General features: G+C 36.1%; 1 protein-coding gene across 3 annotated transcripts in view; it reads right to left on the bottom strand.

Moving 5' to 3' along the window:
- The window catches only part of RAD23B (RAD23 nucleotide excision repair protein B), a 48,916-nt gene that overhangs the window by 20,149 nt on the left and 12,304 nt on the right, over nucleotides 1–16,463 (bottom strand). For all 3 annotated transcript variants that reach the window (NM_002874.5, NM_001244724.2, NM_001244713.1), the window contains exons 2-5: nucleotides 11,824–11,905; nucleotides 9,932–10,011; nucleotides 5,399–5,667; nucleotides 309–364 (exon numbers count right to left, since the gene is read on the bottom strand). In NM_002874.5, the coding sequence (NP_002865.1) occupies nucleotides 309–364; nucleotides 5,399–5,667; nucleotides 9,932–10,011; nucleotides 11,824–11,905 (487 nt within the window). The remainder of the gene's footprint in view (nucleotides 1–308; nucleotides 365–5,398; nucleotides 5,668–9,931; nucleotides 10,012–11,823; nucleotides 11,906–16,463) is intronic.

Here is a 16,463-nt window from a genome sequence, read left to right as displayed (position 1 = left end):
ACCCTTTGTAATAAATCCATACACAGATCAACCATGTTAGGATCACATTTAAAATTCACATCCGGAAAATGGAAATTTATTTGCTTTAACCAAGTAGGCTCAACTCAGAGCAAGTTTTAAAGAACTCAATACATAAACATTAAAAGTCTTTAGTAACACTATTAATTGAATAATTACCTAAATCAATCATCTTACAGCTTGATTATAAACAACCATGCAAATTATTAACACTTTTATCATGATCTAGAAAAGTGAAACCTCTTTCCTATCTCTTTATAGGTTATTTATAAGGAAAAGCAGATACTTACCAAGTGCACTCGTTGCATCTTCAAAAAGGTTTGACCGAGAAGAATCACCCGATGTACTACAAAAGGATTTTAGAAAAATCACATTTTAAAAAGTATATAAAATTTAATTTACATTAGTTTAGTAACTATCCAATTGGTAAACAGATTCTTTGATTTTAATTAAATATAAAAGTCTGACTACAGTATTTAAACTGTCTCTTCTAGATTAAATCCAAAAGCTTTATCTACAACATTTGTGGTTTGGGAAAAATTTTCAATCTTGGTACTCCTTCTATTCTGAGACTCCATCACTTTAAATATCAAAATATATAAAATAATATCCTAACAGCTATCTATTGAATACAAAAAAGATAATGCACAATTATTTACCTGAAATAATTTACATGAGAAGTTAAATAATTTATAAATCAAGTCACACCAGAAGAAATATCAAAAGCAGTATACAAAATAGCACATGGAGAAACCAAATTAGGCTATAAAGTCTTTACATAATGAAGTCTTATAGGTAAGTTCTGAATGAGGACACTGAAAGAAGATATTCAAATAAAGAAATATAGCATATGCAAAAAAGGTAGATATGGGTTAAATCCAAGTTTGAATGTAATGAAAATCAGTTTAAAGAGATTAAGTTTCTGTTGGGAAACTACAGAGAAGTCTGCAATAAAAGACAGAAAATTATGAAAGACCAAGAGCAAGCCAAAGAAATATAAACTTAAGTTTACAACAGTGGTAAAGGTAGTAGTTAGAAGTTTAAATTAAAGCAGACACACATACACACTTAGACCTGTATCTCAATTAAAAACAACACACACATTATATTTCAGTTCTGAGAAAGCCCTTGGTAGTACATAATAAGAGCAGAAAACTCAAGTTTGGATGCATAAATTACTTAACCTTTCTAAGCCTGTTTCTTCATCAGTACAATGTCAACGACCGTATCATATACTCCAAAGTGTTGTGGGTAGGGCTACACTAGTACAGTGCTTAGCAAAGTGTCTGGCATCGTAACACCCAATAAGAATACTATGATTAATATAATCCCTTGGTATAATTTAAGTTCTTCATTAAATATACTGTAAAACTAATGCAGAGAAAATAAAATTTCAAAACGCACAATACATAAAAACTAAATTTTTCCTACCCCTAACCCAGAGACAACCACTATGACACCAATTTCTATTTAAAAGAATAACAACTTGTGTCTTGCTTTGGTGTTTTTTTAACTTAACAATCATTCTATGTCGGCACAATCAAATCTACTTCAATTTCTTCCCAAATGTGCACAGTATTCCATTTAAAAGACCAAATCAAGCTCTTATTAAGCAATGTGTAGTTTGGTTTCCTGCATTTAAATTCTTTCTATAGTCAAATTCATCAATCTTTCCTGTTATAATTTTTTTTTTGGTTGTCTTGCTTAAGAATGACTTCTCACAGTGAAGACTATTCTTTTGTTTCCTTGTTCTCCATTAGCTTATGGCTTTGCTTTTACATTAAATCCGTATCCATCTATAATTTATTTTTGCAGGTGTACAGTATGAGGGGTCATTCTTTTTTCATTCTAGATGGTGAGATCTCAATAGCATTTTCCCCACATTGTTCTGAAACTGTACCTTTATATTAAGTTCCTGTATCTATCTGGGTCTATTTCAAAGCTATTGTTGATTTCGCTGACCAATCTTTCTAATATGAGCCATTCCAAACTGTTTTAATCATTACTGTATAATACATTTTAAAATCCGGTAAGACACATCTCCCTTAGAATAATTTACACTATTATCACACATTGGTTTTTTTTTTTTTTTTTTTTGAGATGGAGTCTCACTCTGTCGCCCAGGCTGGAGTGCAGCGGCGCAATCTCGGCTCACTGCAAGCTCCACCTCCCGGGTTCACGCCATTCTCCTGCCTCAGCCTCCTGAGTACCTGGGACTACAGGCGCCCGCCACCACGCCCAGCTAATTTTTTGTATTTTTAGTAGAGACGGGGTTTCACTGTGTTAGCCAGGATGGTCTCAATCTCCTGACCTTGTGATCCGCCTGCCTCTGCCTCCCAAAGTGCTGGGATTACAGGCGTGAGCCACCACGCCCGGCCCACACATTGTTTTTAAAAAGTTCTCTTTAAACACCACAGATAAGACTGGATGTACATAGACTTTAACCATTATTCTTTAATCTTGATTCTGTCTCACTACTTCTCCCCTCTCCAACCACAGAGGAAACCACTCATTAGTTATATGTCAACGCTTGCCTTCTTTTCTTCTACACATTAACATGCATACCCACAGAAAATGAACAATGTTGTTTATGGGTTTTGTCTGGTTTATGGTTATTGCCTATACTCTTCTGCAACCTGCTTTTTTCACTCAATAACAAAGCCTCAAAACCACACTCATTTAACATGCTTATACATTACATACTTTAACTGTCTTGTAGTATCAGCTATCAGGGTTTCTCAAATTTTACAAAGTCCGAGAATCCCAAGTATTCACCAGGAGGGCTTGTTGATTTCTGGGATCCACTCCCAGATAATTCTGATTTACAGGTCCAGGGTGGCCCAAGAATTCATGTCAAACACACTCCCAGTGATGCTGATGCAGCCTATTGACTACCACACTTTGAGTAGTCCTGTTCTCTACTACGAATAAACCACAGGTCAATTTAGGATTCCAATTTGTCCTTTACTACAAACAATACAGTCATGTGCACAAGTGCAGTTTCTCTCAGGTAGATATCAAGTGGAATTTGCACTGTAACAGACAATTTTTAAAAGAACAAAATTGACCTAAAGAAACAAATCCCTAATAACAAAACGTCAGGTCAGTGGTCCTAAACAGACTTCCCACAAAGTCACTCCACAAAGTCTTAACAGCTTATCTCCTGATAATTATTCACTAGGTTTTGTGCTTCACAAGACACTAGATATTTTCCAGCAAAGACAAAGGAACTAAGACACATTTAAGCAGCTTGTTTTCTGAGTTTCCCTCATTCCTCTCTTCCTGTGTTGTATTTCTGAGGTAAAATTTTGAGAAATAAGAGTAAGCAGTTGGTGTACAAAGTCCAACTAAGTAACAAACTCTAGTGTCTGCTTTCCTGGATCACTGACCATCAAGTTACTTATGCAACTTCTGTAGGTCTGAAAAGGTCTGAAAAGATAACCCTGGCTCTTTTTAGAATAGGTAAGTAAAACTGCAACTCCAGGAAGAAAATAAAACTAGAGTTAATGGGCTGGGCATGGTGGCTCATGCCTATAATCCCAGCACTTTGGGAGGCCGAGGTGGGCAGATCACCTGAGGTCAGGAGTTCGAGACCAGCCTGGCTAACATGGTGAAACCCCTTCTCTACTAAAAATACAAAAATAAGCTGGGCATGGTGCCATGCGCCTGTAATCCCAGCTACTCAGGAGGCTGAGACAGGAGAATCGCTTGAACCCGGGAGGTGGAGGTTGTAGTGAGCCGAGGTCACGCCACTGCACTCCTGCCTGGGTGGCAGAGCAAGACTCTGTCTCCAAAAAAAAAAAAAAAAATGGAGTTAATGAAGAAAGAAATTTAAATTGATGGCATTAGCACATTAAAATGTATTGATCAACTCTAAAATTCTCACACTGTAAGCTTTTTTTTTTTAAAAAGGAGCTTAAAGCAATTAAGAGAATAAGATGTATTGTGCTGACTTAAGACATATTAAGTTTGTAATATTTAAGTGCTTTAGTAAACCAATTTTTTAAATGCGTAAGTTCCCTCTCATATACAGACCTGATCAACAGCCCTTTGATGTAACAGCTTAACCTGACTCTAGGTGGTATCCACTAGGATAAGATGGTTGAATGCATTTCTAGTTGTACATGGGAAAGATGGATCAAGTTAGGCAATGGTGTCATAGAATGCTTAAAGCAGTGTTCTAGGCAAGTAACAGGGCAAATATTCTATTGCCTAAACCCATGTTGTCTTCTTAGGGAATCAATTATTTAGAAAGAGACCCCCAAGTAAGCAATGAACCAGGTGGCTCAGACTCCTCCAAACATGGTTGACTAAGTCAGACACAGAAACCACACTCAAAGGCAGAACACTAAAATGAAGGATCACAACTATATCTTTCTGATCATTGTCATATATATCTTAACCCCTTTCCATGTCTGTAAACCCTTCCAGTCACTGCATAGTTTTCCACTGTGTCTGATTCTGACTCCAAAGATCATATAACTACTGCCTCTGAGGTCCTGAGTTGCACTAAGTCACAAAATACAAACAGCTGTAGTGCCAGTGAAGGCTGGTCATAATATAACTCATGCTCTTAGATCAAGGAATTGTGCTGTATGATTTCCAACCAAGAGAACTCTGACTTAAGCATTTGCTTTGGTCATTTTACCTGATCGTCTGGGGAGAAAAACAAAAGTCTTGTCTTAAACTGCTCAATAATCCTAACTGCCTAAGCAGCCACTTAGTTGAGGTGTCTCTGCTGTCAACTTCCCACAAGAAATTATTTCTTGCTCCTCAAATATCTCAACACTCTTTTCCTTTTTTTTCCCCTAAAGATCCACACAGGCAGAAGCCTGAATTTCTCACAAGTTCACAAAGATACAGATACAACAGTGAAAAACTGAAATAGTCCATAGGTTCAGGTTACAAGAGCTAACAAATGTCAGAACCAAACACAATGCTATATAACTACGGGAAAGATTTACTAACATGGAAGGATGCTTATGATATATATGACAATGACCACAAAGAATACAGATCAAGTACAAATGATGATCAGGGTGGCAATGTCATGATGTAATCCTTATTCATTTTGGTTATTTGTATTTCCTAACGTTTCTACTCAAAAAAAAAAAAATGACTTTCACCTGCTTTCTCCTTTCCACTGCCCCCCACCCTGCCCAAATCAACAGAGTACAGAAATCTGATTATGAAAATTTGTACTTATATTCTCCTTAGTAAGCTATCAAAACAGACGCAGCATATGTTTTAGTCAAACATTTAAAAAAAGCTTAACGTAATAGATATAGTCGGTTTGATCAAAACAATAATCAAAATAAATGCATGAAGTTCCTGTTAAACACGGATTTTGAGATAGAATGTCCTAGAATCCAGTTCCTACCTGTCAGTTGCTGTTGGGCTAGTAGCCACTGGTGTCTCTGCTGGCTTTTCTGCAGGCTTCTCTTGTTTAGCTGCACTAGCAGGTGCAGGTTCAGAAGATGCTGTCGCTGATGCTGGAGTGATGGATGCAGGTGTGGAAGTGGGGGCCAAGGCAGGGACAGGGGTTGGAGCCTGAGCCACAGTTGTGGTGGTGGAGGAAGTAACTGCTGTAGTGCTGGCAGGAGCTGACTGCTGAGTTGTAGCTGGTGCTGGTGTGGACACTGCTTTGGGCTAAACACATTAAAAGACAAAATAATTACAATAAAATACTACATACTGCCTGATCTCTAATTAGACTGTACCGTTACAGGATGCCACAAACATAGCACTAATAACAACCTATAACTTGAAAATAATTTTGTAAAATGACACAATAAATGATCAATATTAACAATCTGACTCATGGTTACTCTTTCAAAGCTCATGACAGCGTATGTTAATCTTAACTATCAACCACAATTAATTTTACCCAACAATTTCCATCTTCATATCAAGTTAATATAAAATAAAAAATTTGAAATATATATAGATATATAGATATATATATATATATATATAGATATAAACCGTATCATTTTCCCAAAAAAACTTTATGTACCTAAGTTGTAACTTTAAGGTACCTAATACCACTTAAAAGCATTAATAAAATAATTTTCTTTAATTTTAAAGACAGGGTCTTGCTACCTTGCCCAGGCTGGTCTTGAACTCCGGGCCTGAAGCAATCCTCCCACCACGGGCTCCCAAAGCGCTAGGATTACAGGCATAAACTACTACATCCAGCCCAAAATAATGTTCTTGAAATGGCAGTATAAATGTTTATTTATAAACATGTCAAATATTCTGTTGTACTGTATTTTTAGAAGAGGGAGGAAAATCCCAAAATTGACTACAAATCAACAGATCCAAGTACAAAAAGGTTCACAATACTTTCAGACATATATGTAATTAAGCAGAAAAATAAAGGCCAAATTAAGTTACCTCCACACGCTCAGCACTTTCTGAACTGGAAATAGAGCCATAAAGCTTCCCACAGAGCAAAAAAACAATTAGTTGACCCTTGAACAACAAGGGTTTGAACTGCACTGGGTCCACTTACATGATAATTTTTTTCAATATAAGTTACACTGAGTGTGCCTGCCTCTCCTTCTACCTCCTCCATCTCTGCCACCTTGAGACCGCAATACCAACCCTTTCTCTTTCTCAGCCTATTCAGTGTGAAGACAAGGATGAAGACCTTTATGATGATCCACTTACACTTAATGAACACTAAAAATATTCTCTCTCGTGATTTTCTTTTGTTTCTTTTTGAGAGAGGTTCTCACTCTATCGCCCAGACTGGAGTGCAGTGGTATGATCACAGCTCACTGCAGCCTCAACCTCCCAAGGCTCCTGCCTCAGCCACTGCCCCCGCCCCCAACACCAGGTAGCTGGGACTACGGGCTCACACTACCACTCCCTGCTAAATTTTTGTATTTTTTTTTTTTGTAGAGACAAGGTTTCGCCATGTTACCCAGACAGGTCTCCAACACCTGAGCTCAAGCGATCCGCCCACCTTGGCCTCCCAAGGCGATGGGATTACAGGCATCAGCCACCACACCTGGCCATGATTTTCTTAATAGTTTCTCTAGCTTACTTTAATACAGTATATCATACATGTAACATATAAAACATGTATTAATCCACTGTTTACGTTATCAGTAAGGCTTCTGGTCAAGAGTAGGCTATTAGTAGGTAAGTTTTGGGCAAGTCAAAAGGTATATGCAGATTTCTGACTGTAGGGGAGAGGCCAGCACTCCTAAGCTCAGTGGTGTTCAAGGGTCAACTGTACATGTGTAAAAATCATACATGATTTTTAGTCTTCTCCTAAGGCCTCTCAATGCTCGCTACCTGTTTAGTTCATAACTTTCCCAAGGACAAAAGGTAGCTGTTTTAGTGGAAGACAAGGCTTAAATTCAACATAATTTGCCACAGGCATAAACAAACTCTAAAACCAATGAGCTGCCTTGTCTTTTTGATTTGAACTAATAAAGAAGACACTAGGAAAAAGGTTAGTGAAAGGTGATAGGTTTTTAAAAAATACTAGTAGCATTACTCCCTTCTTTTCCTATTTAGCTTAACTTTCTTAACAGCCAATATAATATTCTGCAGATTATTACTGTTCTAAAACTAAAATGAGCTGAAATCCTGAGATCATTCTGGATCTTCAGTTATTCTGGATAAACTGGAGCTTCACAAAGGTGAAAATTTAGAGTCTTAAGCACCAAAACTTTATAATAACCAATCTAGATAAAAATGTATTTTTAAAAGTGGTATACTCATTTAATATTTTCCTTAATTGTTATCAAAATAATATTGCAATGTAACTTCCCTTCAAGGTTCCTACTGCCAAGAACAGCTACTTATACTTTATTCTAAACAGTACCAAGCCCTTCTCTGCTTTTTAGTTTTTATTCTTGCTTTTGATCTTAATAGCTTTTTCCTTTCCCTTCTTTGTATTAATAAGGTCATTTCTCAGTGCTTCCATAATGCCTTACTGTAGCAGCATTCCCTCCCTTTTCATAGTTGTCCTCTATTAACTTCAAATAAAACAATCATAAATATCATTAGAATCCTATGTAATATTAGGAATAAAAGACTTTAAGGAAAAACAAAAGGACTGTATGCAATATAATGATAGGCTTCAAGTATCTATTCCTCAAACACACGCACCTATTGAGACTTTTTCTGCTTAATTCTTGTGTTCTAAACAGTCAGGATCACTGTAATATTAAAAGAAACTAAGACCAGTAACAAAACATATTTAAATGTGTGGCTATCACATTTCCCATTATGTACTATGTATGCTAAAACTAGATAGGAAAATAGGATAGTATTCAGTCTTAAAAGTTCAGCAAATTCTGGCACAAGCTATAACATAGACAGATGAACCTCAATGACATTATGCTAAGTGAAATAAGCCAGTCACAAAAAGACAAATACCATAGGATTCCACTTATATGATGGTGATAGCTGCAAAACAATGTAACTATAATGTTATTGAACTGTACACTTAAAATGATTAAACTGGAAGTTTGTTATATTTTACCACAGTTGAATAAAAAAACCTAGATGATACAAGGTTTCCTCACGATTCTGCTTGTTTTTAAACTTAACATATAATGACTTAAGTTCTTAAGTATAGCAAAATCAACATGGTTCTTAATGAATTAAAAAATGTTCAACACTTGTAAACTATTTAGCTGCTTGCTCCCAGTACAAAAGCATGTGGTAATTAGAATTTATTTCTTCGACTCTATTTTCTATTACTATTAACTATTTTGTGACTTTGAGAAAAAACCCACATTTAATCCACTTTTGGCCTTTGATGAAGTGGTTTCAATTAGTGATTTAAACTCATTTTCAGTGCTACAAGTAACACTGTTCTTTCTCAGATTATGACAATCCAATCCTAAAAATGAATGTCATGAGTACCACTTCTCCATTTGTCTCTTAATTCTACACTGCATTATATATCTTTAAATAAACAAGTATATAAATAGTCTCTTAAAAAAATCCATGTTCATTCTCTGCTTTAAAAAAAATTTAATTTTATAAATTGTTCCAAATACATTCCAGCCTACTAAATCACAAAAAAGTATCTGTTTAAAACTTCCAGGCTGGGCGCGGTGGCTCACGCCTGTAATCCCAGCACTTTGGGAGGCCGAGGCGGGCGGATCACGAGGTCAGGAAATCGAGACCATCCTGGCTAACACGGTGAAACCCTGTCTCTACTAAAAATACAAAAAAATTAGCCGGGCGTGGTGGCATGCGCCTGTAGTCCCAGCTACTAGGGAGGCTGAGGCAGGAGAATGGCATGAACCCGGGAGACAGAGCTTGTAGTGAGCCAAGACAGCGTCACTGCGCTCCAGCCTGGGCAACAGAGCGAGACTCCGTCTCAAAAAAAAAAAAACAAAACAAAAACAAAAAAAACTTCCTCATAAAAATCATTCCATCATTTCTTTAGTTATCTTTTCCCTTTTTTTAGTTTCTAAAAACATATTCTTTCACTAAGAACTATCACTGTAATAATAAGCTTTCATGCCTTTTCTGTCTTGAGGAATCTGTTAGGACTAGTACGTAATTTAGCAGGTCTATTTAAGGCAAGCTTACAAAAACTACAGAATAAACATTTATTCCACTTATAAAGACATTTTAAAAGAATTATATAATGATTTCACTACTGTAGCAAAAATAATTTTAACATGACATTTTATTTTTCAATTGTTTTAATTTACATAAAATTTTATTAAAACTATATTATAGTTTAATGTGTAATTAATGTAAAACATTAATAACTTTATGTTTCACTTAAGGTAAATTCTTAAAAACCTTTCATAGTAGTTAAGTGTACACCACTATGGATGTGTATAAACTGTGTCCATTGTGTGGACTTGTGATCATCATTTTTAAAAAGACCTACATGCATAAAGATATACAGAATGAGGTTGAAACTTACTTTGGTCACCATAACCACCACAAAGTTTTTCTCATCAATTTTATATTCTTTGAGAGCAGTATCATCATTGAGGATTTTGCCTAATACATTAAGAGAAAAAAAAATCATTTAAGGCATAATCTTTCTCTTACACTTCAGTTAAAACAACTTTCTACTCGAAATATGAATATTTCAGAAATATTAAAATATGAATCACCAACATAAATTCTATCAGTTAATACTTTTCCCAAAGAAAAACCAATCAATCAAGATAAAAATAAAACAACTCCTAAGTGGCAGGGCATGGTGGCTCACACCTGTAATCCCAACACTTTGGTAGGCTGAGGAGGAAATATAGCTTGAGGCCAGGAGTTTGAAACCAGCATGGCCAACATAGCAAGACCCTGTTTATGAAAAAAAAAAATTCAAAATTAGCCAGGCATTGTGGCACATGCCTATGGTCCTAGCTACTTGGGAGGCTGAGGCAGGAGGATCACCTGAGCTCAGGAGTTCAAGGATACAGCGAGTATAATCACACCACTGCACTCCAGCTTGGGTGACAGAGCAAGACCCTCTCTCAAACAAATAAAACTAAAAAGCATAAGCATTTGACTAAAAGATGTCAAACTTATATAGTGTATATAGAATGACAATCAATTTTTACAAATGTATTGATTATATAAAAGACTTACTGGGCAAGGAAATATGAAAGAGGCCCTGAAAAGGAGGAGATCATGAAGATAAAGAAAATTCAATACTCCGATTGCACAGGGGTCCTCTGGAAAATAACCTATATTCTTTTATGATATGAAGAAAGGGAGAGAAACAAATTTCCTGCTCCCCAAAATACTGATATCTGATAAATCAGAAATGTTCTAACACTATCAAAGCAAGATACTAAAAGTACTTCAGAAAACGACATGATACACAAGAAAGGGCAAGATGCTACAGAACTTAGAAATGCACGAAGTACACAAAACTGTGGTCGTGCTGAAGGTCACTATTAGGTAGCTAGGACTCTCTAGTGTTTCTTGCTACATGAATTTAGTTTTCCACCTTTAAAAAGCTATTGAATCAAAAGCTGCTAACATTAAGTCAGAAAGGAATATGGATAGGAATGAGAAAACAGGCCAAAACAAGAAACTGGAAATTTGAATTTTATGTCCGCTTCTTTAGGCTTCTGAATTCTGACCTATAAAAATAATGGGACTGAATCACCAGGTTAGCATTTCCTCCAGGCTGTCTCACTTTAGGAAACACTATTCAGAAAAAGAGAAGAATCCATGGGTGATCAAACACCCACCTTACTAACATCTACAATGAAAGCATTTTCTCTAAAAATTTGGATATCAAATGTATTTTTAATATACATTTTCCTGGTTATTAGTGAGGCTAGTCAAATGTATAATTCCTACTCTTATCCTTTGTTGCTTTATTGGTCATCCTTTCCTTACTGATTTCTAAGAATTCTTTACATAATCTGAATATTAATTTTTTTTCTTCCTGTAGGTGTCTGTGTGATGTGTTTTTTCTGTACTCTTCAGTTAGTTTTGGTTAAAATAATTTTACAGGAATGATTCCAAGCATACTAATAATAACACAATCAGTATAAATGGTTTCAATTCAATTTAAAAAAAAAAGCTCCGTTTGATTAAAAAAACAAAAGCCAGTTACACGATGCTTACAAAAGATAAAACAAAACTAATACCATTTGATGGAAAAATACACAGGGCAAATGTGAATAAAGAGAAGATTGAATATTAATATTAGATTCAAATGACTGCTCTTTCACTGCTTTTATTTGTACAATCATTTTTCTGACAATTTGAATATACTACAATATATAAGATAACATTTCTAAAACTAAAAGAATATCAAGACATGGCATGTTAATTTTAATATTTAATTCATACCTGCATAAATTAATTTTTGACCTGCTACTGGAAAGGCATCTTTCCCCTTTTCAGATTCAATCTTCTCTTTCAGTGCTTTCACCTATAGGAAAAATAAAGATTTGTTTTGGAAAAAGTCTAAATAAAAAATGACAATCCAGAATCTGAATAAATAATGGAAGACAAAAATTATATACATAATTATTAATGTTTCCAAAACCTCAAATATTATGTTTTTCCAATTTATATCAAAAAAGATTCAACATTAACTCATATTACTAGTTATGATAGCCATAAACTTTAACACCATCTGATACACACAGATTTTTAAAAATTTACTAGTTGAACTGATAATTTAAAATAAAGTTTTCAACATCAAAGTTTTGGTTTATATACTGTTCATGGGTTTATTTCCCACGGAGCAAGAAAGTAAAGCTTGATCACCTAAAAAATCTAAGAAATAAAACAGTCTCATCAACAATAAGAATACTTCAATGTTAAAGGTTAAATTGTGAATGTTAAAAGGCAAATGATTCATTTTAAGTGTTATGTTTCATTACAATCACCAGGGGGACTTTACAAACACCAATTAAAACATAATCTCTGAGAGTGGGACCTTGACATCAGTATTTTTAAAAAGTTTTACAGGTGTTTCCAAAGTTCAGCCCAGGCTGAAAACCTCCAGACAACTTCAATGCTCTTAAACAAGCAGCTTAGCTTCTCTCAGCATCAGCTTCATTCATCTGTAAGAGGAGCTGGAATCCATGACCTTTATAGTCTCTTCATTTCCTAAAATTGTGTGACAATTAGGCTCATTATACAGTATTTACAAAAATGAGTCTAATGAACTTCTTAACTTGTTAAGTAGGGAGGTACAGGAGTAAAAAAGGCAGAGATGGCTTTCCCATTTGCCTTTATAGAACTACTTTCATTACTTTAAAGGCACAAAAACCAAGGAGAAAAATTCAATACTTCTTGAAAATTATCTAAGTTGACAGTTCTCTTGAGTTTTAGACAGAAAGGGATACAAATAAAGGTTTCTTTTGTACAATTAAAAAGTGATGGTGTGTACTTCAAAGATAAAAAAAGCTTATTTAGCTTCAGATGTTAACATACAATTTCACACAATCCTCAAAACTCTGGGACAAAAGGAAATGTCACCCACTCAATTTTATAGATGAGGAGACGGAAATAAAGAGGTTACCACCCCTTATGACTCCAAGCAGAGTATTTTGCAAATACCATATAAACCTTCCTTGCTGCACTGATCTTCCTGAAATGGGTCAGTAGCATCACTGCTATTCTGATGTTCCCCAAAGTAGAAATCCATCACAAAAATCTCAATCCACTATTTTCCACTGTTCCCCATTTCAAAGGTAAAACACAAGTAAAATTTTTTTAAAGCCAAACATCAGATTTGCAAAAAAAAAAGTAAAACAGTGTCAGTCTTTTCAGTGCTTTGGTGTTACTGTTGTTTTGGCAGATAGTTATTTTTTGCAAAAAAAGTAAGTATAATATTTATTATAATAAGTTTATATTTATTTTTAAATGAACATTAATAAAGTTTGTTTTAATTTCTAATGTGGTAAACATTAATAAATGTAAGTACATTGGGTCAGGCGCAGTGGCTGATGCCTGTAATCCCAGCACTTTGGGAGGCTGCAGTGGGAGGATCACCTGAGGCCAGGAGTTCGAGGTCAGCCTGGCTAACATGGTAAAACCCTGTCTCTACTAAAAATGCAAAAAAAAAAAAAAAAAAAAAAAAAAAATTAGCCAAGCATGGCGGTAAATGCCTGTAATCCCAGCTACTTGGGAGGACGAGGTACAAGAATCATTTGAAAAGTGGAGGTTGCAGTGGGCCAAGATCATACCACTGCACTCCAGCCTGGGTGACAGAGTGAGAATCTGCCTTAAAAAATAAATAAATAAAATAAAACGTAAGCATATCGACAAAAGTTATTTTGGAGCCCTCAATAACTTATTTAAATGTAAACAAGTCTTGAAACCAAGTCATTTGAAGACTGCTATCCTACATGCTAAGAGACTTGCCAAGTCAACCAACTGATGGCAGAGCATGGGTGGAGCACTCAGTGGTGTATGGTAAATTTCTTCTCAAACTTTGTTTGTAGAGGGACAAAAGGATACAATATTTGCAAGTGTGATTATTTAGGAAAACTACAAATAAATTACAGACCAAGTGTATCTCTATGCATAAACCCAGTTCTCAGAACAATACATAGTGGCTTGGCATGGAGTGGGTGCTCCATTATCCTGTGCTGGATGAATAAATGAACAGAGCATAGACATATGTGAAGAAAAAAAGACACATATGAAGCAACAAATAAAAGAAAATAAACATGCAGGAATATCTCATTCTTGACAGGTTACAATGAAGTATAAGACAGACTTAAATATTTCATATTTCAAAACGCTTAAATAAGTAACGGGACTCTCTAGCTTTATATCAAAAATGAGGGAGGACCAAAGGAAAAAAAAGCCCCATAAATTAAGAAAAGCTGGACCAAAAAAAAAAAAAAGGCCCTTTAGTAATTTACTACTAAATAACTTTTGCTTCAAAGAAATCAAAATTGATTAAAAAATATTAAGGCTGGGCACAGTGGTTCACGCCTGTAATCCCATACTTTGGGAGGCCAAGGCAGACGGATCACCTAAGGTTGGATTCGAGACCAGCCTGGCCAACATGGTGAAACCCCATCTCTACTAAAAATACAAAAATTAGCCGGGCATGGTGGCTGGCACCTGTAATCCCAGCTACTTCGGAGGCTGAGGCAGGAGAACTGCTTGAATCCCAGGAGGCAGAGGTTGCAGTGAGCCAAGATCATACCATTGCACTCCAGCCTGGATGACAAGAGCAAGATTCTGTCTCAAAAACAAAACAAAACAAACACAGAATATTAAGAACATAACAATGGGAGCTCAACACAAGATACCTATATGATTTGGCTAAAGAAGTAATTGTAGACTAAACACTAAAAATGTTTATTCAATAAAGAAGAAAAATTAACAGGCTAAACATGCAACTCAAACAGAAAAAAAGGACAAATAAAAATTAAAAAAAAAAGAAATTAAGAGGCCAGGCGCAGTGGCTCATGCCTGTAATCCCAGCACTTTGGGAGGCCAAGGCGGGCAGATCACAAGGTTAAGAGATCACGATCATCCTGGCCAACATGGTGAAACCCCGTCTCTACTGAAATAAAAAAATTAGCCGGGCATGGTGGTGCACACTTGTAGTCCCAGCTACTCGGGAGGCTGAGGCAGGGGAACCAAATGAACCAGGGAGCTGGAGGTTGCAGTGAGCCGAAATTGTGCCACTGCACTCCAGCCTGGCGACAGAGCAATACTGCATCTCAAAAAAAAAAAAAAAAGCAATTAAAAAAAGAGAAAAGGCAGCTGGGTGCCATGGCTCACGCCTGTAATCCCAACACCCTGGAAGGCCGAAGTGGGCGGATCATTTGAGGCCAGGAGCTCAAGGCCAGCCTGGTCAACATGGCAAAACTCCATCTCTACTAAAAATACAAAAATTAACTGGGCATGGTGGTGCACGCCTGTAATCCCAGCTACTCGGGAGGCTGAGGCTGCAGTGAGTCAAGATCATGCCACTGCACTCTAGCCTGGGTGACAGAATGAGACTGTCTCAAGAAAAAGAAAAAAAAAAAGAGAGAGAGACAAGGCACAAAACTGTTTTTGCACTAATAAAAAAATTGGACAAATGATTGGGCAGGCAATTCACAATTACACAGTCACAGCACAGAAAAGCTCAACCTCATTAGTAACCAAAGACATAAATTTTGATGCCTCATGTTATTAATCCAATAGACTATCACACTGGAAAGATTGTTTTGAATAATTCTTGGCATTGAAAGTGAAGAAATACATTCTCAGAATAAGAATTAAAGTATCAAATGATCAAAATTTTTGAGGGCAACATGCCAAGATGCTTCAACATTTTTAAGGTGGTGGGGGAAGGCACGGGGATTTGACCCAACAGTATCACTTCAAAGAAAATAACTGAACCAGACTTTGGAACCAGGTGCACTGACCTGTCTAAAATTCTGGCATTGTTCCTTACCTTGAACAAAACAGTGATCTTTACTTACAATCCAATCTATACTTACAGAACCCTACAGGCTGAATTTTGTCATCTAAAAACCACTCCATGTTTAAAATTATAAGTGACCAATCTCCTGTTCCTACCAGCTCTTAGTTAACTGTTCACTATACTTGCTCTTGAATCTCCTTAAGACTTGGTCCCTAGAGTCTCTACTTTCATTTCAATCTTCACTATCATTGCTCCTATCACCTTCTTTCTAATATCAAAAACTTCCTTGTCTTTCTGCTGCTCCTAACACACAAAATTCTGTATTTGGACCAACACCATTTATTTGTCAGTACTCAACCTCTAAAATTTACTCCAACCACTCTGTGGTGTCTCATTGTCCTAACCTTGCTTAGCTAACAAATCTCAACTTTTACCTAAGAGACTGCCTATCTACATTTATACCGTTTTCTAAATGCTAGTGGAGAAAAGGATACACTAAATCTTCTGTTCCCCCTAGTTAGCCCTCTTCTCCATCCTCCAAAAGAATATCTCAAATCTGCATTCTACTCTAAATCTGATTCACAGCATCCTCTCGTACTGT

This window comes from Homo sapiens, chromosome 9 (genome assembly GCF_000001405.40).
Source record: "Homo sapiens chromosome 9, GRCh38.p14 Primary Assembly".
Classification (NCBI taxonomy): domain Eukaryota; kingdom Metazoa; phylum Chordata; class Mammalia; order Primates; family Hominidae; genus Homo; species Homo sapiens.
This window is presented reverse-complemented; position numbering and strand designations above follow the sequence as displayed.